At 49.7% G+C, this 22,369-nt stretch overlaps 4 annotated features.

The window, feature by feature from the left end:
• Positions 1-501: an enhancer, noted in NCBI's record as "H3K27ac hESC enhancer chr2:15900134-15900634 (GRCh37/hg19 assembly coordinates)". NCBI's record gives its function as "activates a minimal SCP1, AML or CMV promoter by ChIP-STARR-seq in primed H9 embryonic stem cells {active_cell/tissue: H9 hESC(primed)}" and the evidence as "EXISTENCE:reporter gene assay evidence [ECO:0000049][PMID:30033119]".
• Positions 502-1,002: an enhancer, noted in NCBI's record as "H3K27ac hESC enhancer chr2:15900635-15901135 (GRCh37/hg19 assembly coordinates)". NCBI's record gives its function as "activates a minimal SCP1, AML or CMV promoter by ChIP-STARR-seq in primed H9 embryonic stem cells {active_cell/tissue: H9 hESC(primed)}" and the evidence as "EXISTENCE:reporter gene assay evidence [ECO:0000049][PMID:30033119]".
• Positions 9,357-10,255: an enhancer, noted in NCBI's record as "H3K4me1 hESC enhancer chr2:15909490-15910388 (GRCh37/hg19 assembly coordinates)". NCBI's record gives its function as "activates a minimal SCP1, AML or CMV promoter by ChIP-STARR-seq in naive H9 embryonic stem cells {active_cell/tissue: H9 hESC(naive)}" and the evidence as "EXISTENCE:reporter gene assay evidence [ECO:0000049][PMID:30033119]".
• Positions 20,972-21,919: an enhancer, noted in NCBI's record as "H3K4me1 hESC enhancer chr2:15921105-15922052 (GRCh37/hg19 assembly coordinates)". NCBI's record gives its function as "activates a minimal SCP1, AML or CMV promoter by ChIP-STARR-seq in naive H9 embryonic stem cells {active_cell/tissue: H9 hESC(naive)}" and the evidence as "EXISTENCE:reporter gene assay evidence [ECO:0000049][PMID:30033119]".

Below are 22,369 nucleotides of genomic sequence, written 5' to 3' on the forward strand. Positions count from 1 at the left end.
TTGGCCTCCCAAAGTGCTGGGATTGCAGGCGTGGGCCACTGTGCTGGCCCATTTTTTTATTGTTAATTGCCTACCTTAAGACTAAAGTACTGATTAAGAAAACATTGCTTGGATACCCTATTTACCTTGATGTGATTGTCATCTATTGCATGCAGGTATCGACATATCTTATGTAACCTATAAATATATACACCTACTATGTACCCGCAAAATTTTTTAAAAATTAAAAAAAAAAAGAAAACATTGCTTATGCTGAAAATAATTTTGTTGTGCAGAGGAGGGGGTGTTAAAAAATAATAAATTCCAGGTGTCAAATACACGAGTTAGGCCACCAAGCAAGAAGAGTGCTTTTCAAATGCAAACCAGACCCTGCAACCCCCTGAAGCTTCAGGCTCAGACCCCGACACCTCACATGGATGTTCCCTGCCCAAATGCTGCCTCACCCAGGGCCATGGGCAGTTTTCAGGGCAGGCACAAGTGGAGAACCATGATCTGGTGGTGGGCTGGCGATGCAGGGGGTTCTTACAGCTTTGAAACCCTGGACACAAGGTTCTAACATTAGATCCACCCCTGCCTTGCTGGGCAGCCTCAGACAAGCCCTTGCCCGTGGGGCCCTCGGTTTCCTTTCCTTTACAATAAGGGCTTAGCCTGGACAGTATCCAAGGACCCTTTTATGCCCCGTGACTTGGCCTTTTTCGAGGCCTGATGTTAGTTCAGTCTAGGCTGGTAGAGTTCATTTCTGGAAAGGAAGAAATAAAAATGCAAATTGTTTGTGATTCAAGAGAAAGTTAGACCAATCTCTTCCTTGTTTATGGACTTGCCTTTGTCAGCTTCCTCAGTCTGTTCACTGCTTTGGCACCAAAATAGAGCCCTAATTATCTATAGGCAGCAATTGTTTCCTCCCCAGGAAAACGCCTTTCTTTCTTTTTTAAACAGAAATTTGTATGGAGTGGAGAAAATGTGCACTTTTCTAAGTAAGTAACATGGTTGTAATCTCTGGAATATAAGAAAAACAATTCCCCAACGCACTCCCCCTGAAATCCCCTGGCCCGCATGGGTAGAGCTTACAAGAGCAGGGCCAGTCAGGTATGCCGGAAAGAGCTTGATGCTGGGGTCAGACCTGGGAACAAATGCTGGCTTTGGGCCGGTCTCTCCCCATTCTGAATTTTATCATCTTTCAAACGGAGATTATGGTTCCTGCTTATCCTAACTTACAGAATGCACTGAGAAGCACTGTTCCAAACGCACAGGGCACACCGTTTCAGCTCAGTCAGAGCTTGGAGATTTGGAGATAAATGGGAGGGAGCCCCTGAACCCCAGGAGTATCCCCTCCTTCTTCTTGCTGGGCTATTCTGGGAGAATTGAGAAGAAAAAGCCTTCACTGCAGGAGGAAGGAAGATTTGGGGAGGGGCAAAGTTTGGTGGGGTCTTGGTAAATAAAGAGGGCATGGCAGGTGGACGGACTGCTGTGAGTGAAGGTTTTGGGGAAAGAGGATGCATGGTCTGCTGAGCAGAGGTTGGGCTAGAGAGGAGGCGAGAAGCAGGAGATGAGGTTGGAAGGTGTGCTGAGTGGACTGGTTTGGGTGATGAAGTGGAGTGGGCGGTGGGTGGGGGTGGTCCAAGCAGGAGGAACTGCTTGAGCAAAGGTAAGAGGCAGGGTGTTGGTATAGGACTCTGCAACCGGCACAGCCACGGTCCACACTTTAAATCCTCAAAATGGATTGTCTTGTGCTGTTTCTTTCTGAATTTGTCCAAGGAAGCAGAGAGAGGAGGAAAAAAGAATTCTTTTTCACGTTCCTGTGACATCCTCAGTGCCAGAAGTTGTCACTGAGCTGATGCATTATCTCACCTACTCTTTCAAGTAATATAATATGTAGTTACAACCATTTGCATTTTACAGAAAACAGAAACTTAATGAGTTAAAGATCAGCCCAAGGTCACAGAGATAGAAACAAGGTGAAGAGCAGAACTCAAGCCCTTAGACAACTTGGGAAATGGCCAGTCCGTTGGCATCTTTAGCAATCAGAGTTTTTGACTCCTAGCAACTAAAGCAATGCTGCCAATATGAATAGAAAGGGGTGATATGGTTTGGCTGTGTCCCCATCAAATCTCATCTTGAATCATAGTTCCCATAATCCCCATGTGTTGTGTGAGGGACCTGGTGGGAGGTAATTGAATCATGGGGGCAGGTATCTTCCCCCGTCTCATTTTCATGATAGTAAATAAGTCTCATGAGATCTGATGGTTTTATAAAGGGCAGTTTCCCTGCACACGCTTTCTTGCCTGCCACCATGTAAGACATGCCTTTGCACCTCCTTTGCCTTACTCCATGATTGTAACTTTCCTGAGGCTTCCCCAACCATGCTGAATTGTCAGTCAATTAAACCTCTTTCCTTTATAAATTACCCATTCTCAAGTATGTCTTTATTAGCAGTGTGAGAGCAGACTAATACAGGAGGTGAATTAAAAGGGTAGCTCAAGGAGTCCAGGAGGGCTAAGAACTAGGCCTGGGACAAATATCAAATGGCAAGACTGGACAGGGAGAATATGAATGCCTCTGCCATTGAACACTAGATGCTTTTACTGGCTCCACTGGTGTGCCCAGCCTTGGATACTGGACTCTGGACTTGGCCATTGTCACCTGTTAAGTGGCCACTCCTGGCCCAGGAGCTCAAACTGCTGAAGCTACTGCTTCTCCTCACCCCCTGCCTAGCATGAGAGAATGTCCTCCCGCTCCAGATCACCAGCCCTGGATCAAATTTAGGCAGTTGAAGCTGACGGGTAGAGCCCAGGATACGAGCTCCTGCTCTGTCTGGAGGCAGGTGGCAATATCATGACTGGTCATTTTCAGCTTGTATTGTAGGAGACAGGCAGACACTGCCTCCCACCAAGACTCAAGGGTGGCCAATATCCCATACACAGAGAAGAAGTTCAGGTTTCTTTTCTTATCAATGAGAATGACAAATACCCACTCAACATCGTTACTGGGTACACGCTTTGTGTGAGGCTTGACTATTGGGGTCCCAAGGAAGAAGGGGATGGCCTTTCCATCATGGAGTAAGGGCTAATTTCAGAGGCCAGCATGTAGGTTCCAAACCCGGCTTTCCCTCATTTGATCCTCAAACACCCCATCGGGGGGCCTGGACAGGACTTATCAGGCTTGTGTTACAGACGAAGAAACAGAGGTCCAGCGAATGGAAGTGCCTTGCCCATGGTCATGGAGGTCATGAGTGCAAACTGGTCTTGCACCCAGGGGAATCTGGATTCTAACTCAAATCTTTCTCTGCTGCATGGAGACCAGGGCACTGAGGGAAATAGGCTTTTCTCAGAACCAGCTCTGCCTGTTTGACACTCGATCTGGGCTGGGGAGGAGGGGGCAGGAATGAGCACTGCATCCCAGGGGAAGGGCTGGTGAACGTTCTGTGCGATGACTGTGCCTGCACTGAATCCCCTCTTGTCTGTGCTTCTCCCAGGAGGGGATGTGTGGGAGGGCAGTGGGCTGGTGGCAGAATTCAAGAATGCCCATTCTTTCAGCAGGGAGGCCAGCTGATCGTGGCTTGTGCGTCGTTGGTCTCTGTGGAGAGTTTGGAGTGCAGCTCTCAGAGGCCATGGCCGGCAGCATCTTCGGCATTTCGGGGCCTCTGCTGACTCTTGGTTCAAACCACAAAGCCTCTGCCCGAAAGCATAGGGGCGGGGCCACAGGCTGGCCTCATTGGTAGCCTGGGTGGTGGTCGGTTTACCAAGGTTGTCCAAATACAGTGGGAGGGTTCCGAGCGCTGGGAAGAAAGCGTCCTGGTCAAAGGGTGGCTGACCCATGTCCTGGTGAGCCTCCTGCAGCTTGCCTTGTCTGCTCACCTGCCTGAACCATAAAGAAACTCCCGTGATACTTTGGGCCGTGAGCCTGGAGAAGCGTTCTGGTCTTAGGGGAAGCGCATTGAACCTGGAGTCACCAGACACAGGCACAGTCCCAGATCTACTGGAGCACAGATATGTAGCCTCAGGCAAGTCACTTAACAAATCTAAGCCTCAATTTTCTCTCCCCTCAACTGGGGTAATAATATTGTGAGAAATAACAGAGCTTGCAGACGTGAAAGTGCCGCAGTGCATGGTACATCATCGATCCTCAATAAGTATATGTGGAATGAGTGAATAGTGGAATGGATCAACATAAACTGCCCCAGCGTCCTAGGAAGGAGTGTGTACCTTTGGCAAGGAGCGGCTGGGTGGATGGAATCAGAGGCATTATGTTTCGTGTTCTGAGGGCCCTTAAGTATCTGGTCCAATGTCATCACTGTAAAGGTGGAGAAAGGAAGAGTTGGAGATGGGAAGGGACTTCCCCAAGGTCACATGGTGGCTGACAGAGCTAGGGACACTTCATTGAGTCCCATCCCCTGCCCTGAGTCACTTCTTAATCTCTCTGCAGCCACTCCAGCTTTCAAACACACAGTGGAGGCCAGAGATAAAAAGAGAGGCATGGAATCGTCATTGCCATCATTTCATGTCATTTCAAACTGATCAGACTTGGGTTTCAATTCCTAGCTGGGTGGCTTTGTTGAAGCCGCCCAGCTTTCTGGGCCTCAGTTTCCCATATCGAGAGGATTGTGTAACCCTCTGTGAAGATTAAATGCCTGGTAAGAAATGTGGGGATGGAAGCCCTAATTGTGGACTAATCGGACAGGATCAGAACCCACTTCTCCCCTGCTGGGGGCTGTCGTCAGTGGAGACTTGCTGGGCAGAGTCCCTGGGAGGGCAGAGAGGAGGACAGGGTGGCAGGCTCTCATTCCCCTGGGCCAGGAGGAGGAAAGTAAGACTTGGAATGGCGGCCTGCCTGGCCTATAGCCCATCTGCTTCTGACCCGTGACATGAGCCTGGGCAAGTAGCTGCCCTTCTCTGGCCTTGGCACTCCCGTCTATAAAATGAGAGTGTTTGCTTAGATGATTTTTAAGAGCATCTCCATCTCTGATGTTTAAACCTTCTTTAAATGCATTCATTCCAAAACTCCTGGCAGTGTTTCCAGGGGCCACATTTCCTACTCAGTCCGTTTTGAAATAATGACTAGGGAGCTCATTAGCACTCTCTGCCCTTACAGGCAGTTCCGGGGAGGGGACACATTTTCTGCACTTGTGCCCATGCCAATTTTCCAACATTTCATGTTCTCAAATAATAATAACTGTTATTTCTACTAGACGGTTCCCTCACAAAGACCTCTCTGTGCCAAGGTGCCTGGGGCTGGGGTCTGGGCACACAGTTTTGGCAATCTCCTCCCTCTGAGAATGTGTCTACACCTGCAAGACAATTAACCAAGTCATTTAGGTGAAAACCCACCACTTTACACCTGAAATATGCCAATAGTGGAGAAGAACAACCTGTGAGAGTGCTTCTGACATTCATTATCCGAATAGTCGCCTCAGATCTTCACTTAGCATCTCCAGAAGTAGCCTCACTGAAGTAAGCGTTTTCCCAAAAGCAATATACAGGGCTTCTAAACCTTCCCTCGCTGGTTAGAGAGGGAGGGACCGGTGCTGTGGGTTCCCAGGCTGTCTCCTGGGCTACATCTCAGGCAATGTGGTTTCATACCACTTTGCACCAGTGTCTGAGGCCCCTTTCTTCCTCTGGGCCCGTGTGATATGCCTCTGTGAATGAAGGGACTGAAATTCCTTACAGTTCACAGGGCACTCCCGTGCATGGCTCCCCTGGACCCTCTCCCCATCCCTGGGAAGTGGGTGCCATCCTACTGCCAGAAGAGACCAAAGCTCTGCACATGAGGCTTTCTAAGGTTCCATGGCCAAGGGGGCTCCGACCATTTGCGGGGCTCCAGATGGGGCCTCTCACACTGCCTCACGACCTCGGCCAGCTCTGCAGAGCAGCCCTGGGGCTGGGTGCCACGGGCTGGGCAGGGGTCCAACCTGCCTGCAAATGCATGATGGGAAGCTCCCTGTGCAGTGGCTCGCTTTTGTCCCCCTTTGACTTGACACAGCCCAGAGACCCAGTAACAGAGCAGCCCTGTGGTCCACAGAGAGCAGTGGGAGGAGGAGAGGCCTGTGGTCCCCCCTCAACAGAGGTGAGGATGAAAGGGAGCTAGTGAGCTAGGTTGGCCTCTCTGACCCAGCCAGAAGAAGCGTCCCCTCCATCAGCCCTGGTAGTGGAGCGCTCCTGGTGTGCATACCTTGGGAAAGACAGACAGCAGGACCTGGGGTGAGCCCCGCTTTGTCTCTTCTGCCTGTGCCGTACTGGCTTCGTCACCCCATCCCTCCAAACCTCAGTCTCCACCTCTGCAAAACGGAGGCTCTAACACCTCCCTTGCAGGCCTACTGTTGGATGTGGGGAAGGACCTGCTCAGAACCCGGCACATGTGTGTGATCATTTCTCCCACTCTGGGTCTGAGCCATGAGTCCCCACAAAGAGATGCTTAGCCCCAGCAAAACTGGTATCTGCTGGTCTGTTTCCAGGTGACCTCCTGTAACCCCTTCCGCCCTGGGCAGGTCGGCTGACCTGTGACCCTGAGGTGTTGACAGAATCTCTGACCTCTGGGAAGGAGCAGGTCACTTTACCAAGTTTGTGCAAATAGATAAAGAACAAAGTGGCCCATAAATCAGAGCAACAGGAAAAACAAATAATTCTCTCCCCCCTTGGGAAAGAAGCCGCTGCGGTGTGGGTGGAGGTGGAGGGTGAGGGGAACGCTGTCCAGGTTACCTTCGTGGTTTCTCCTGATGCCGCTGAGTGGCTGCCCACCTGGATGGAGGTGGAGATGGGCAACCTTGGGAAGAGGACTGTGCCAGGCCGGGGCAGGACAGTGGGTCCTGTCCTGCAAGGTCCTGGTGAATTCTTCCTCAACTGCAGAGGAGGGGAGGCATTTGGGGACCTCGAGGTCTCTTCCTGGAACCTGGCCCCTGAGAGAAGGCTGCCCATCTGGGATTTGGGGAGTGGAAGTCTCTTCTCTCGGTGGGCATTTCTAGTTATTCTACCTCATGGTGGTGCAGAGCAAGCCAGGACGGGGCCTCACCAGGCTGGATCCTGAACAAACCACTGCTGTATGGTCGCAGGCTCACAGCGCCCCGAGTCTCAGTTTCCCCAAGTGTAAATGGGAGTTGCCCCTGTCCTGCCCGTTCTCTGGCATGTGGTGAGAGTGACAGTGCATGTGGAGTGGCCCAGTGTCCTCATAGGGCCGGGTTCCCACCCTGGCTCCATCGCAGGGGGAGTGTGCAAGTGATTGCACCAGTCAAGGCTCAGTTTCCTTTTTGTAAGCCAGCGATGGTGACAGTACCTGCCCTTTGGAATTAAAGGGAGGATTAAAGGACACACTATCTAAGACACCAGGCATATGCACCAGGTGTTCACTAAAAAATATTTCTCCCTACCCTCGTCTCATTGCAAACACACCCTCTGGCCGGGCGCAGTGGCTAACACCTGTAATCCTAGCCCTTTGCGAGGCTGAGGCAGGCGGATCACTTGAGGATCACTTGAGATCAGGAGTTAGAAATCATCCTGGCCAACATGGTGAAACCCCATCTCTGCAAAAAATATTTTAAAAAATTAGCCGGGCATGGTGGCGGGCGCCTGTAATCCCAGCTATGCAGGAGGCTGAGGCAGGATAATCACTTGAACCCGGGAGGCGGAGATTGCAGTGAGCTGAGATCACGCCATTGCATTCCAGCCTGGGCAACAAGAGTGAAACTCCATCTCAAAAAAAAAAAAAAAAGAAAGAAAGAAAAGAAAACCCACCCTCCTTCCCCTAACATGGGTATATTTCAGGGTTGGATCCAGGGATTCATTGAAAGGTAAAGTCTAAGTGTGGACAAGCCCACATGGCCCACGCCACCCTGCCCAGGCCTGACCCTCGGACCCCCACTCAACCTTGCATGTTCTGCTCCTTCCACACCCCGCTCCCTGCTGCTCCTTGAAAGCCACACCCACGTCCCACTCAGGGTGCTGTGCTTGCTCTTCCTAGGGTGACCAAGGAACAGTAGCACCCCCAGGACTGAGGCATGTCCAAGATGTGGGATTTCTAGGGTTGACATCGGGATAGTCCTGGGCAAACCTGTGTTTGTCTGAGAAGGAAAGGCCCTTCCTCCAGCATCCACACAGCCACTTCCTCGTCTCTGCTCAGACCTTGCTGATACCGTATGCGAAGCAGCGCGCCTCTTATTCGCCTTCCTTTTTCTCCAAAGCTCTTATGGGCATCTGGTAGGTTGCATTTGTAGTTGTTTGTTTGACTGTCTCTCTCCTCTAGAATGTAATCTCCACATCAGCAGGGAATTTGGTTTGTTTTCATTTGAGATAATGTCACCTCGAAGCCTCCAAATAACCCCAAAAGGTAGGCACTGTCGCCAACCTCACTTTACAGAAACTGAGGCTTGCTGGGGGGCTCAAACACTCGCCCACACTCTCACAGTGATGGAACCAGGGTCTGAGCTGTGTGGCCCCATCCCATTTCTGGTTTTGTTTTTGTTTTTACTTTTGTTTCTTCTTCGGCTATCTCCCCTGGAGCCTGGAATAGAACTTGGCAGGTAGGAGGCCCAGATCTGTTTTTTTCGAGTGAATGAATAAATGAATGAGTCTATGGTTTTTGGACTTAGATAAAAGCAGAGAAAAGACCAAATGTATTGCTTTTTAAAATGAGGATTAAAAATAAAAGTTTATGGCTGTTCTGTGTTGACTGATGAGGTGTGCAAAGCAGGAAGCAGGGTTAGAAACTTAGACTGGAACAAGAGAGACGGAGAAAGTGTAGCAAGACTTCAAAGCACCAACAGCCTCTCTTAGGCTGTGTCTAAACAAGCGAGGCCCAGAAGTGAGGCAATTAATCAGGTAATTCCAGCCCCCTTCCACCCAATGGCCTCAATTATCTGGCTACTTGAAACCTACCCGGTTTATGGGTAATGAGTGTTAATAGGCTATTGTCCGGAAACAGTCTCCCCCCGCAGTTTGCTCCTTGGCATTCGAAAGGCCCCAGGCAGCAAGAAACGTTCGGCTGACCGCTTTGCCGCCCACTCTCTGCATCTGTAATAAGGGACAGAAATGCCTTCTTCAGCAGGCTGCTGTCAGGAGCCGGAAAAGTACCTGTCCAGGGTCTGGAATCCTGACTATGGCACTCCGCACACCTTCATTTCATTCTAGTTTCTTCCCACCAGTCTAAACCCTCACCACCACACTGCCTGCCCTCCAGGCCTCTGGGCTGGCCTCATCTCTTCAGTTTTGCAAACTCTTGGAGGACAAGCAGAAGAGGAATTACTTTCAAACGCTCCCCAGTTCTGCCCCAGAACAGAGCTTGCCCTTCTGAGGAAAAATGACAGGGTCAAGAAAAAAAAAAAAGGACAGGGAACTCTCATCATCGACCTCCTATTGCTGAGCCCTTTAAGAGCTCAGTCTCATCTAATCTTCACAAAATCCTGCCGGGAGGGTCCTGTGATGACCCCATCTCACAGACAGGGAGACTGAGGTTCAGAGGCTTAACTAGCAAGTCTAAAGCTTGACAGGAAGTAAGTGTTGGAGCTGGGGTCCAGACTCCAGGGGCTATGAAGTCATCATAATTTTGTACTTCAGAAGTAAAAAATAATAGAACCAAAGTTATGGAAACAGCTTTTTCAGAGCTGGAAAGTCTTGAGAGATCTTGGAATCCAAACCTATTTTAGAGACGGGAAGACTGAAGGCTAGGGAGTGGAAATGGTGGAGGAAGCAGAAGGGAGATGATGATAAGATCACAACAGTGACAGGTGGCACATGAGGCCCATGTGCTGGGCCGGGGCGTCGCACTGGGGCAGAGATGGCAGGATGGGCCTCCGTCTCCCCACCCCAGCCCAGTGCTCTGCCAGCCCCCACTCCACCCTTGCTGGAGGCTCCAGCCTCACTTACGGACAGCTGCCACGCTGGAGCACCGAGGCGAGGTGGCCCAGGCTCCCCCTGCAGCCAGGCTGTCCCCATAGGAGGCAGGCCCAGCCTTCTGTCCACCTCCAGCACAACTCTCCTCTGGCTTTGAAATCCGGATGCTAAATGAGGAGTCAGATGGGAGGATTCCCAAGCGGGCCCAGGTCTGATCACGTACCCAAAGCCCTCCTGTCCTTTCTTGGGTGTGTGGCCTCCATGGCGCCTGGATACACAGGGCCCAGGGCTACTCCCTTAAGCAGCAAAATCTTTGCTTTGCAAATATGCCTAGTGACGTCCTCCTGGAGTCCTCCCAAACACCCCTGCTGCCGCCCCTTCCATTTCTCTTTCAGAGGTAATGGAGGGAAATCAGGGCCCAGTGCGTGGGAAGTGCTGTTGTTTCTAGGAATAGTTGAGCAAGGTGCTCCCAGGGAGCTATGAGGAGCTTCCTCCTGGGGACCAATCCTGCCCAGCCTCAGGGCCCAGCCCCTACCTGGGAGGCCTTCCTTAAGGCCCCTCCCACCTCTGGACCCCAGCAGTCCTGCTACCCAGCCAGCTGAAGCCTTCGCATCTTGGTACCCAAGCCAGGGCAGGCTTAGGTGCCTGTCCTCAGCGCTCCATGGCCAGCTCCCTCCTCCCTGTTAGGAGCTTCTCTGGGGTGTGGTGACTGTGTTTTCTGGTCTTTCCTTACTGGACGAGGTCCCTGAAGGCAGAGTCTTGGCATTTTTATCTCAGGGAACTGAGCACCCCGTACAGGGCTTCTCCCAGACCACGCAGGTCTTAGTGTGGTGTGGACTGGGTGAGGCGAGGGGATGTGGCCACGTGTGCTTATTTTCCAGCTGTGTGCTTCTCCCCCAGCCAGACTCAGGCTTCTTGGACCAGTCACCCTGGGTCAGCGTGAGGGAAGGCACTGAGGGCACAGCCACCTCCGGAAGGCGACAGGTGGAAGGGCGTGGTGAGAGGGCCGTTCTGATCTTCGCTGGGTGCTTCCAATTCTGTGTCCCCCATCTCAAAGTCATGAGAAGGCCCTGCCTTCCTGGGAAGATGATGTGCAGACTGGTGTTTCATCTGGGGCAGCAGCAGCCTGAAGGCCCCCGAAATAGTGAGGCCATCAGCTCTGGCCGGCACCTGGCTCTGAAGGCCCAAAGCCCACACACGGGCCCTGGCTTCCCTCTCCTTGTTCCCTGGCCCAGAGACAGGTGGGCGCTTCCTGCTGGGCTGGGGTGGTCTCCAAGCTGCTGCCTGACATTGCACAGGGCCCATGAGGGGTGCAAGACCCTGAGTTGCAGGCAGTACCTGGGAGGAAGCGCACCTTCCCACTGAGGGACAAGCTTCACTCTCCAGACAGTCAGGACTTCGTCCCGTTCCAGTGTTCAGAGGGCCTAGCTCCACTGCTGAGGAAAGCTCCCCTGGGCCCAGGTCTGGGATACATGGAGCTGACAGGGTGCTGAGGAGACCCAGGGTGGGGACGGGGGCTGCTGTTGAAATGAGGGACCTCTCTGAGCCTCGGAAAGTGGAGCTGATAATGCCCAGGACATGCCCCATGCCTTCCTCAGGGAGAGGAGGTGAAGGGCAGGCAGAGTGAGGGGACTACCTTCCGGTACCCCCATGCCATGGGCCCAAGGTAGCTACTCCATAAAGGCCGGCCCCTTCCTCCTTCCCTTCTCTGCCTCGCACGGAGAGAGGATCTCTGAGCTAAAGGTGTGGGTGTGAGGCCATCCTTCAAGTCTGATTAGGGGGACCTTCCAGTTTTCCAAAGAGCACCCTGTGCATTAGTCCCTTCCTGCCTCACAGCAGCCTAGTGGGCCAGCCAGGGCCGCGGGAGGATTGAAGTCTAGGACAGCATGTGACTTTGCCCAGAGTCACCCAGCAGGGCACAGTGATGGGCAAGGACTCCCCCAATCCCCCGCACAAACCCCGAGACTCCCAGTCTCGGGAGCAGGCTCTCCAGCACCCCTCCCCGGGTCCTCACGCAGCCACCTCAGTTTCCCCTCAGGACTAGCCAACCCTTTCACCTTTCTGGGCCCTTGCCCTGGGCAATAGGGGCTGGGAGCCGGATCTCCTAACTGTGGATCACGCCTCATCCCACAGAGCCATGACTGACAGGCCCGGTGGACTCCAGCTGTGTTCCCAGTCGTTGGGAAGGAGAGTCGTGGGGTCTTGCAGCTCCTGGGCCTTTTTACCCGAGTTGCGTAAAACTCAGGGGCCACCTTAGATCTGTAGGACCTGGAAGACGTCAGTCCCCACTCTGGGTCTCAGGTCCCACTTTGAGAGCAGAGGTGGGGCTGGATGAGCCATGGGGTGCCTCCCTCCAACATCTTGACTGCATCCTCCCTGCGTCCGGAGGCAAACAGTAATTACATAAATCATATGCAGGTTCCAACATCCCTCCAGAGCCCACCGAGCCAGTGGCTGGTGGGCACACTGCCCAACTGTGAGGAGGGAAATGAGTCAGACTAGGCACAGAGAAACGCCCCTGGAGGAGCGGGCAAGGCAGCAGGGAGGGGAGAGCTTCCACTGAGATGGCCCTTCTCGAAACAAAGCCTTAGGGGCTGGGGCAGGGGGGCACTCTCCAGTTTGCTTTTGCCTATCGCCTGGGGTAAGGGCCTAGAAAGGTGAAAGCGTTGGCTAGTCCAGAGGGGAAACTGAGGTGGCTGTGTGAGAACCTGGGTGCTGGAGAGGCCTGCAAAGAGGGCAGGGCTGGGAGTCTCGGGGTTTGCATGGTGGGTCGGGGGGAGTCCTTGCCAGTCTTTGTGTCCTCAAGAGTAAGAAGGGAAATGGCCCTGCTCTGCCGATCTCAGGGCCTGCGGTGAGGATCAAATGAGGTCCAGGATGAGATGGCTCCGTGGAGGGCCCTCCAGCTCTCTCTGCCACACATTCCTCCTGCTCTGCTGACCCTCACAGTCAGTCTGCCTTTCTGGGATGCACCCTGGGAATCACTTGGCTCACTGCGAGCCTCTGCCTTCCTCCCAAAAAGCCCTTTCTCTCTTGGCCTCACCTGTTAAAATGCTGCTTATTCTTTAAAACCGGGTTGTGAGCAAATGACTGATACACACCCCATCCTAGATGCACCTCATAGATGTTACTCTGAGTTAAAGAAGCTAGATACAAAAGCAAGCATTCACCGTATAATTCTAGTTATGTGAAGTTTGAGAACAGCTACAGCCTACCCATGGGGAATGGCGATCAGAGCAGAGGTTGCCCCTGGGTGAGGTGGGGGTGGCTGGAAGGGGCTTGCGGGAACTTTCTAAGGTGGTGGAAATGTTCTTCATCTTCATGGGGGTGGTGGTTATGCAGGGAGACATTTTTCAAACTACGAAAACTCCACACTGAAATTCTGTACATTTTATAGTCTAGAAATTATACCTCAGTAAACACAAATTATGCATAACTTATAACAACAAAAAAGTAGAAACAACCCAAATATCCATCAATAGATGAATGGATACAGCAAATATGTCATATCCATACAATGGAATATTTTTCAGCAATAAGTGCTAACGCATGCCGCAGCGTGGATGGACCTTGAAAACATCATGCTAAGTGAAAGAAGCCAGTCACGAAAGACCACGTAGTGTATGATCTTATTTACACGAAATATCCAGAACAGGCGAAACCAAGAAGACAGAAAGTAGGTCGGGGGTTGCTTAGGCTGGGGGAGCCAGGTAGTGACTGCTAAGGAGAGATGAAAATGTTCTAAAATGGATTGTGGTAATGAATGGACAACTCTGAATAGACTAAAAACCAGTGAACCGTACATTCTAAATACGTGAACGTATGGAAGGTGCATGATAATGCAACAGAACTATTAAAAAATGCCAGATTTTTTTTTTAAAAAATCACTTAGTCATCAATGATTAATCTTTTGATTTTTTTCCAATAAAATTTAAAATAGAAACTTGCCAGCACCTCACAATTTACCTGTCACTTAGTTCCTATCCCATTTCATAGGATACTCACAAATAAATCCATGGGGGAGAAAGCCACACTACGTGGCCTATAGCCCAGATGGATTGACACCAGGTTCAGACCCCAGCTCTGGAAGTCACTCCAGTCTCTGAACTTCATGTTTCTTATCTATAATGATGATATTAATCTACCATGAAGGGGTGTTGGTTGAGAGGATTCGGAATAATGCATATGAACGATCTGCTATGTAATTAGCACTGAATAAAAAGTGTTATTTCTGCCTCCATTTTACAGAAGGAGAAGCAAGGGGCTGGAATAAAGGAAGCACGTGGCCTGAGAGACCAGAGCTGGTCAGTGGAGGTGCCTGGACTAGTACTCAGGCCACTGGACAGGGGTCCATCCATACTGGCTTACATATGGAGTGGTCCACATTCCAGCCACAACAACCAAGGTAGCTCTTGTCGCACAAGAGATGCACAAAATTCTCTTGCCTTGAATTTAATACAGCACAACAGAGAAGCTGCAGAATCAGAGGAGTTAAATACAACCCCTTAGAAAGCACCCAATTTCTAGTTCTGTGTCTGTGGAGTTGAAATGTTCAATCCCAGAGTCCCAGAGCTCCCATGTACTGTGAACCATCTTTGCTGGGTGCTATACTCTAAATGTTTGTGTCCCCTTCCAAAATTCTTTTTTTTTATTATTATTATACTTTAAGTTTTAGGTTACATGTGCACAACATGCAGGTTTGTTACATATGTATACATGTGCCATGTTGGTGTGCTGCACCCATTAACTCGTCATTTAACATTAGGTATATCTCCTAATGCTATCCCTCCCCCCTCCCCCCACCCCACGACAGGCCCCGGTGTGTGATGTTCCCCTTCCTGTGTCCAAGTGTTCTCATTGTTCAATTCTCACCTCTGAGTGAGAACATGAGGTATCTGGTTTTTTGTTCTTGTGATAGTTTGCTGAGAATGATGATTTCCAGCTTCATCCATGTCCCTACAAAGGACATGAACTCATCGTTTTTTATGGCTGCATAGTATTCCATGGTGTATATGTGCCACATTTTCTTAATCCAGTCTATCATTGTTGGACATTTGGCTTGGTTCCAAGTCTTTGCTATTGTGAATAGCGCTGCAATAAACTTACGTGTGCATGTGTCTTTATAGCAGCATGATTTATAATCCTTTGGGTATATACCCAGTAATGGGATGGCTGGGTCAAATGGTATTTCTAGTTCTAGATCCCTGAGGAATCGCCACACTGTCTTCCACAATGGTTGAACTAGTTTACAGTCCCACCAACAGTGTAAAAGTGTTCCTATTTCTCCACATCCTCTCCAGCACCTGTTGTTTCCTGACTTTTTAATGATCACCATTCTAACTGGTGTGAGATGGTATCTCATTGTGGTTTTGAGTTGCATGTCTGTGATGGCCACTGATGATGAGCATTTTTTCATGTGTCTGTTAGCTGCATACATGTCTTCTTTTGAGAAGTGTCTCTTCATATCCTTCGTCCACTTTTTGATGGGATTGTTTGGTTTTTTCTTGTCAATTTGTTTGAGTTCTTTGTAGATTCTGGATATTGGCCATTTGTCAATGAGTAGATTGCAAAAATTTTCTCACATTCTGTAGGTTGCCTGTTCACTCTGATGGTAGTTTCTTTTGCTGTGCAGAAGCTCTTTAGTTTAAATAGATCCCATTTGTCAATTTTGGCTTTTGTTGCCATTGCTTTTGGTGTTTTAGACATGAAGTCCTTGCCCATGCCTATGTCCTGAATGATATTGCCTAGATTTTCTTCTAGGGTTTTTATGGTTTTAGGTCTAACATTTAAGTCTTTAATCCATCTTGAATTAATTTTTGCATATGGTGTAAGGAAGGGATCCAGTTTCAGCTTTCTACATATGGCTAGCCAGTTTTCCCAGCACCATTTATTAAATAGGGAATCCTTTCCCCATTGCTTGTTTTTGTCAGGTTTGTCAAAGATCAGATGGTTGTAGATGTGTGGTATTATTTCTGAGGGCTCTGTTCTGTTCCATATGCTGAAATCTCACCTCCAAGGTGATGATATCAGGAGGTGGACCATTGGGAGGGGCTTAGGGCATGAGGGCTGAGTCCTCAGCATGTGATTAGTGTCTTTATAAAAGAGGCCCCAGAGAGCTTTCTTGTCCCTCCCATCATGTGAGGACACAGAGAAAAGATGGCCATCCATGAACCAAGCAACAGCCCTCAACAGACACTGAACCTGCCAGTGCCTAGATCTTGAACTTCTCAGCCTCCAGAACTGTGAGAAATAAATGCTCATTGTTAAAAACCACCAAGTCTATGGTATTTTTGTTATAGCACCCAAACTGACTAAGACACTGAACTCTAACTGAAGATATACACTACTATGGTGCTGTCTACAGGGCAAGTTGTCAAGGTGAATGGTCCTACATCAGACGTAATAAAGGGGGACATGTCTTACTACTAGCAAAAAATTAAAACAAAAAAAGGAATGGCAAAATACAAGCAGTGACAGAGAAACACCACACATTTGCCAGATAGTGTGAATATTTGGTTCATGGGTATGTAAGAGAAAGAGGTCAGTGCAGTCCTCTTCCAGTTCTACTCAAGCAGGGACCCAGGGGTGATAGGAGAGTAGGGGAATTGCATTCTATGTGCACAGTTTAATCCCTCCAAACACACAGCCAGATATTCTAGTAACTAAAACATGACACGAACTCAAAAAGGTGAGGAGCCTGCCCATAGTGTGACTGTGTGACTGCAGAGGGTGGTGGCTTGGAGCTTTTCTCCAGACGAAACAAGTGCAAACATTTCATCCCTGTCCGTTTCCTCTTGAGTCTTTGAACATAAAATCCATGCAGCTTCAGAGGGGAGCATCCATTTCAACATTCCCTTTTTGTGTGTTGACATTGCAGATAAAGACATTTCATCATACGCCTAATTCCTGTGGCTTCCTGAGCCCCTGCCCTCTCCCGCTGAATAGCTGGTGGGGCCATGGTGCTCACATTGGCCTATAATGTTGCCCAATCCTATTGGCCAATTATTTAATTTTCTGACCTGAGTAGGCAATACAGGGAAAAGGATAGCCCAGTCCCCTTTGGTCGTCTCTCCAGCCAGGTTTGTTGTATATTTTGTTGGGGAGGACAGAGTGGTAGAAGAAAGCTGTTTGTTTGCTTGATCCACGTAACTGAAACCTGTATGTCTACCAGTACTTTTCTGCATGTATGGTAAAATATACACAAATAAAACTCACCATCTTAACCATTTTTAAGTGTTCAATTCAGTGGCATGAAGTACATTCACATTGTTCTGCAACCATCACCACCATCCATTTGCAGAATCTTTCATTATCCCCAGTCAAAACTCTGTACGCGTGAAATAGTAACTCCTCATTCCCTACCCAGCCCCTGGAAGCCCCACTCTGCTTTCTGTCTCTACAAGTCTGACTAAGTACTTCCTGTAAGTGGAATTCTTCAATATTTGTCTTTTTGTCTCTGGCTTATTTTACTTAGCATAATGTCTTTAAGGTTCATCCATGTTGTAATATGTGTCAGAATTTTGCTCCTTTTAAAGGTGGGATCATACTCCATTATATGCAATACCAAATTTTGTTTTATCACTGGCATGTTTTTTCTACCCACTATTTGTCTGGCACTATTTTAGGCACTTTGGCGTAAGGGTGAAGAAACAGACGGGATTGACAGATGTAGCATTTTCATACAGGCAGCGAGCCTAGATACAGGTGAAATGGGGAGTCAGTCAGTGGCTGCCAAACCATGGGGGTCATTGGGTTAGTGGAAAAAGGCATTTCCAAGGACTGGTCTGATCAGAGGTTTGGGAGGTGACTTGAAACACACAGAGCTTGCTGTGTGTCTGTGGATTCTCCCTTGTAAATTGCTCTTTTCTAAATTTGTGTACTTAGCAGGTGGAGAAAACATGCCTTAACTGTGATATGTCTATTTCCTCTCTATTTCTAAGCAATTGTATTTGTGTACCTACTTTGTGTCATGCTGTTGATGCCTCAATTTCATTATGGACTCTTATTATTATTTGCTAATTTTTTATTTTTCTCATCACCACAAGTGTCTTTTAGAATGAAGCAACGTATAAAAGTATACCTGTCTGTCATTAATCTGTCAATTTACTTTCCTTCTGTTTGGAGTTATTGATACATCTCATCCAACTCTTCCTCCCTGATGCCGCCCTCCATCTCTCTCCTGCCCCTTCTCCTGCCTGCTAGGTTTCTCCAGAGCCTAGGGCTTCATGCCCTCTGTGGGTGACCCCTGTCCTCTGGTCAGCAAAGTGACTAATTAGAGTATGTCCTGAGTTCTTCAGGTTTTTCTTCCTCCTTAGCTGCTCATATTCTTTGGATTTGGTATTTATTTATTTATTTATTTATTTATTTATTTATTTATTTATTTATTTTTGAGACAGAGTCTCACTCCTTTGCCCAGGCTGGAGTGCAGTGGCGTGATCTCAGCTCACTGCAACCTCCACCTCCCAGGCTAAAGCGATTCTCCTGCCTCAGCCTCCTGCGTACCTGGAATTACAGGTGTGCACCACCACGCCCAGGTAATTTTTGTATTTTCAGTAGAGACAGGGTTTTGCCATGTCAGCCAGGCTGGTCTCGATCTCCTGTCCTCAAGTGATCCGCCTGCCTTGGCCTCCCAAAGTGCTGGGATTATAGGCATGAGCCACTGTGCCCGACCTGGATTTGGTATTATTTTAGGCATGAGCCACCGTGCCTGACCTGGATTTGGTATTATTTTGGATATCTTAGATTAGTAGACATCTAAACTCTGATAAGTGAGGGGTTGTGATACTTACTGAGATAGTTTATTAATTATGGTTTATAATGAAGAAGTCTTTCAAGGGTTTCTTCACTTACGGGACAATGACCTAATGAGAGCATGGCACACAAGGCTTGTCTTCTCCCGCAAGAGCATTCCAGCAGTACTCAACTAACTGCTGTGGTTCCTTGTCTATGCCAGCCATTTCTCCTCTTAGCTCTTTGGTCCACATGGATCCCATGGCCTAGAGTTTTAAACAAATGCACTATGGGGACGGGGCATGATGGCCCACACCTATAGTCCCAGCAGCCTGGGAAGCTGAGATGGGAGGATCGCTTGAGGCCAGGAGCTCAAGACCAACCTGGGCAACATGGTGAGACCCAGTCTCTACAGATAAGTAAAAAATTAGCTGGGGGTGGTGGCACGTGCCTGTAGTCCCAGCCACTCAGGAGGGTGAGGTACGAGGATCACTTGAGCCCAGGAATTCAAAGCTGCACTTAGCCATGATTGCACCACTGTACTCCAACCTGGACAACAGGGAGAGACCCCGTCTCAAAACAAAATTAAACAAAAACAAATGCACCATGGGTATTTCTGCTGTGGCACCTTTAAAGCTTTGCTACATGCATCTGTTTATTATTATTATTATTATTATTATTATTATTACTTTTGAGACAGAGTCTCACTCCGTTGCCCAGGCTGGAGTGCAGTGGTGCAGTCTTGGCTCACTGCAATCTCCACCTACCGGGTTCAAGTGATTCTCCTGCCTCAGCCTCCCAAGTAGCTGGGACTATTGGTACATGCCACCATGCCCAGCAAATTTTTGTATTTTTCGTAAAGATGGGGCTTCGCCATGTTGGCTAGGCTGTTCTCAAACTTCTGACTGCAAATGATCCGCCCGCCTTGGGCTCCCAAAATGCTGGGATTTGGGCTTGAGCCACCTCACCCGGCCGCATGCATCTCTTTAAATGTCTGCCTCACCCTCTTGATCTGAACTCTTCCATGGCAGGGATGGGCACAAAACAATGAAGTGGTTACAGTTCTTTTGCCCAAGCAGTTCATAATAGTACAGGAAGACAAACCTGCAAAAGCCAGCTACAAAATGAAGGTGCAAGGACTGTGCTCTGGAGAAAGAACTCATCCTGTATACAAAGGGGGTTAAGGGCCATGGTGAGTTTTCAGTTAGAATTTGAAAAATTATAATAATGAAGATGTATAGATGAGGAAGAACTAGGGGGTAGGCATTTCAGACAACAGCAGTAGGATGCCTGGTGGCAAGAAAGTAGAGGGTGATGCCCACTTTGTCCCAAGAAGCAGAGCCTAAGGTGAAGGGAGAGAGTTGGGAGTTGAGGAGTTGAGGAAGGCATTGCATTCCCAGTCTCAGTGGTCAGTGTTTACCCTGGGGCAATGTGGAGCCATAGAGGGCTATGGAGAAGGGGTGGTATAGCCTCCACATGCCTTACAATCGTTGTGGGGTGCAGATGGACTTAGGGTTAGCCCAGCTGAAGGCAGAAGCAAGGCTAGCTCTTGCAGTGAGAGTTGGTGAGGGTGGAGGGAACTTGTGAGGCAAATATATCTGCAGGGGCTTCCCTAAGTGGGCATTTTGTCCCATGTGGCTATGTCAGTGGGAGGAAGAAAGTGGGAGAAGAAGCATCTCTCCACCAACCAGGCAGTTGCCAAAAACAGTCTCTCTCCCAGGCCCAGTGTTTATTGTTCTCTGTCACAGCCTATTTTCTGTTACATAATGCATCAGACTGACCCCCGCCCCACAGACTCTGCCCCGGGGTCCTTTGTTGGCTTTGCCCCTTGGGCCTCTGATTGGGCAGCTGAGGGGCAGGCCCTCCGACCAGCCCCTGTCAGTTCCCCAGCAGGGGCAGGCCCCCTGGGCCCACTGAGCTCCTGGGTGGGGCCGAGGAAGCACAACTGTGGGCAAATCAAGGCTCATCAGCAACGTGGTGAAAGCACAACTCCCAGTGCCTCATCTGCCTTGGAACCACCAACAGGCTTCCGGCTAGGGTTAGGCAAATGAGTTCATAAGATCTAGAAGCGAGCAGGATTCCAGCAACATACAAAGTGCTGGAAGGGGGCTGCTCAAGGTTGAAGAAAATGAAAAAGAAATGGTATCACTCTGTCCCAAACTGGACTGTCACCTCCAGTGCTGATGTCCTTACGGTCCGTCCTGTGCCTTCAGTTTCTAAGGGCTGGAGGGAGGGGTAGGGCAAGGGGAGTTTCCCCCCAGAGCTCTGGAGAACTCATAAGTGAGTGAGAAGAGCAGGAGTGATGCCTGCAGTCATGGTCAAGTTCCTTCCGGAGACTGGGCAGGTCCCAGGAACCAGGCTCTGGTCTCTAGACCAGCCCTGGCAAGACACTCGGGAGTGTGTGTGTGTGTGTGTGTGTGGGGGAGTGTGTGTGTGAGTGTGTGTGTGTGTGTGTGTGTGTGAGTGTGTGTGTGAGTGTGGGAGTGTCTGTGGGAGTGTCTGTGAGTGTGTGTGTTGTCTGTGTGAGACAGTGTGTGGGAATGTGTGTGTAAGTGTGTGTGAGAGTGTGTCAGTGTGTGTGAGTGTGTGTGTGAGAGTATGTGTGTGAGAGAGAGTGTGTGTGTGTGTGAGTGAGTGTGTGTGTGAGAGTGTGTGAGTAAGGGAGATGCTGCTTCTTGATATGATACAAGTGTGGGCCCACCTGGCAGCCTAAGGTGGGATGTGGAAGCCAAGGGTGGCTGCAGCCCCCAGTGGCTGGAGAAGGCAACTTCCCTGACCCAGAGTTGCCGAGTGGCTCAGGGACGGGCCAGGGCCACGGCCAGGAGCCAGGGAGGAGGCTCTGAACAGGCCTTTCATCCATGGCCAGAGATGCCTGGGAAGCACCATGTGGGGCAGACCCCTTAGAGTCCGAGCAAGAGCCTCTCCCGCCTGTAACTACTCTACAGCCACGACGGCTCTGGCAGAGCCCGAGAAACCCACAAATACATCCATGAATATTTATTCAGCCAGTAAAAATGTAACATGCACCAGTTCTATTCCATGAGGCTTCTAGGTGCTGGACACAGCAGTGAACCAAGCAGAAGACGCTACCTTCCCAAGCTGCCCGTGACAATGGAACAATGGCAGCTCAAGTCAGGAAGGCTGCAGGCATTTCCCAATATGCTGTCTCACGATGGCCCTGCCACAGCCCTGCGAGAATCTCCACTCACCAGCAAGGGAAACAGAGGCTCAGAAAGCCCAGCGAGTCAGCCCAAGTGCAGAGAGCTAGGTGACACACCAGATGTCATCCAGTCTCTCTGTCACATCCTCACCCTCAAGGAGGTATGACGGTCCCGTGAAATCAAGTAAAAGCACTTTGTAAACTAAAATGCAACTAGTGAGATGCGGTTCTTATCATGAATGGGAAAGAAATAGGAAGTGACCCAGGCTGAAGGTGAGCTGAGGGTAGAGACAGACCCTCTTGGGTGTGTCTGGGCTTTGGTTTTGCAGGCAGTGTACTTTGCTCCCCAAATGCCCCTCTCCTGGTGTCTTCCTGTAATCTTTCTGCATGAGTGAGCAATGTTTGTTTTGGAAGCTGAAGGACCAGACTTGTACCAGTTGAGATGAGTACACTTTTGGTCACAGGCGGGGGCTCAGATCCCTCTGCACACAGGAATTCATCCTGTCACCTCATGTGTACCATCCATAACCCTAAAAGACTGCCCTGTCATCTTATCTGGCAACTGGGATTTTAGCAGTCCCTTCATTAAGCCTGGAGAACAAAGGCGGGCGGGTGAGGGTCTCCGAATGTCCAAACACCCTGTCACCCGGAGTGTGAGGCTGCGGCT

This window comes from Homo sapiens, chromosome 2 (genome assembly GCF_000001405.40).
Source record: "Homo sapiens chromosome 2, GRCh38.p14 Primary Assembly".
In the NCBI taxonomy this organism is placed as follows: Eukaryota; Metazoa; Chordata; class Mammalia; order Primates; family Hominidae; genus Homo; species Homo sapiens.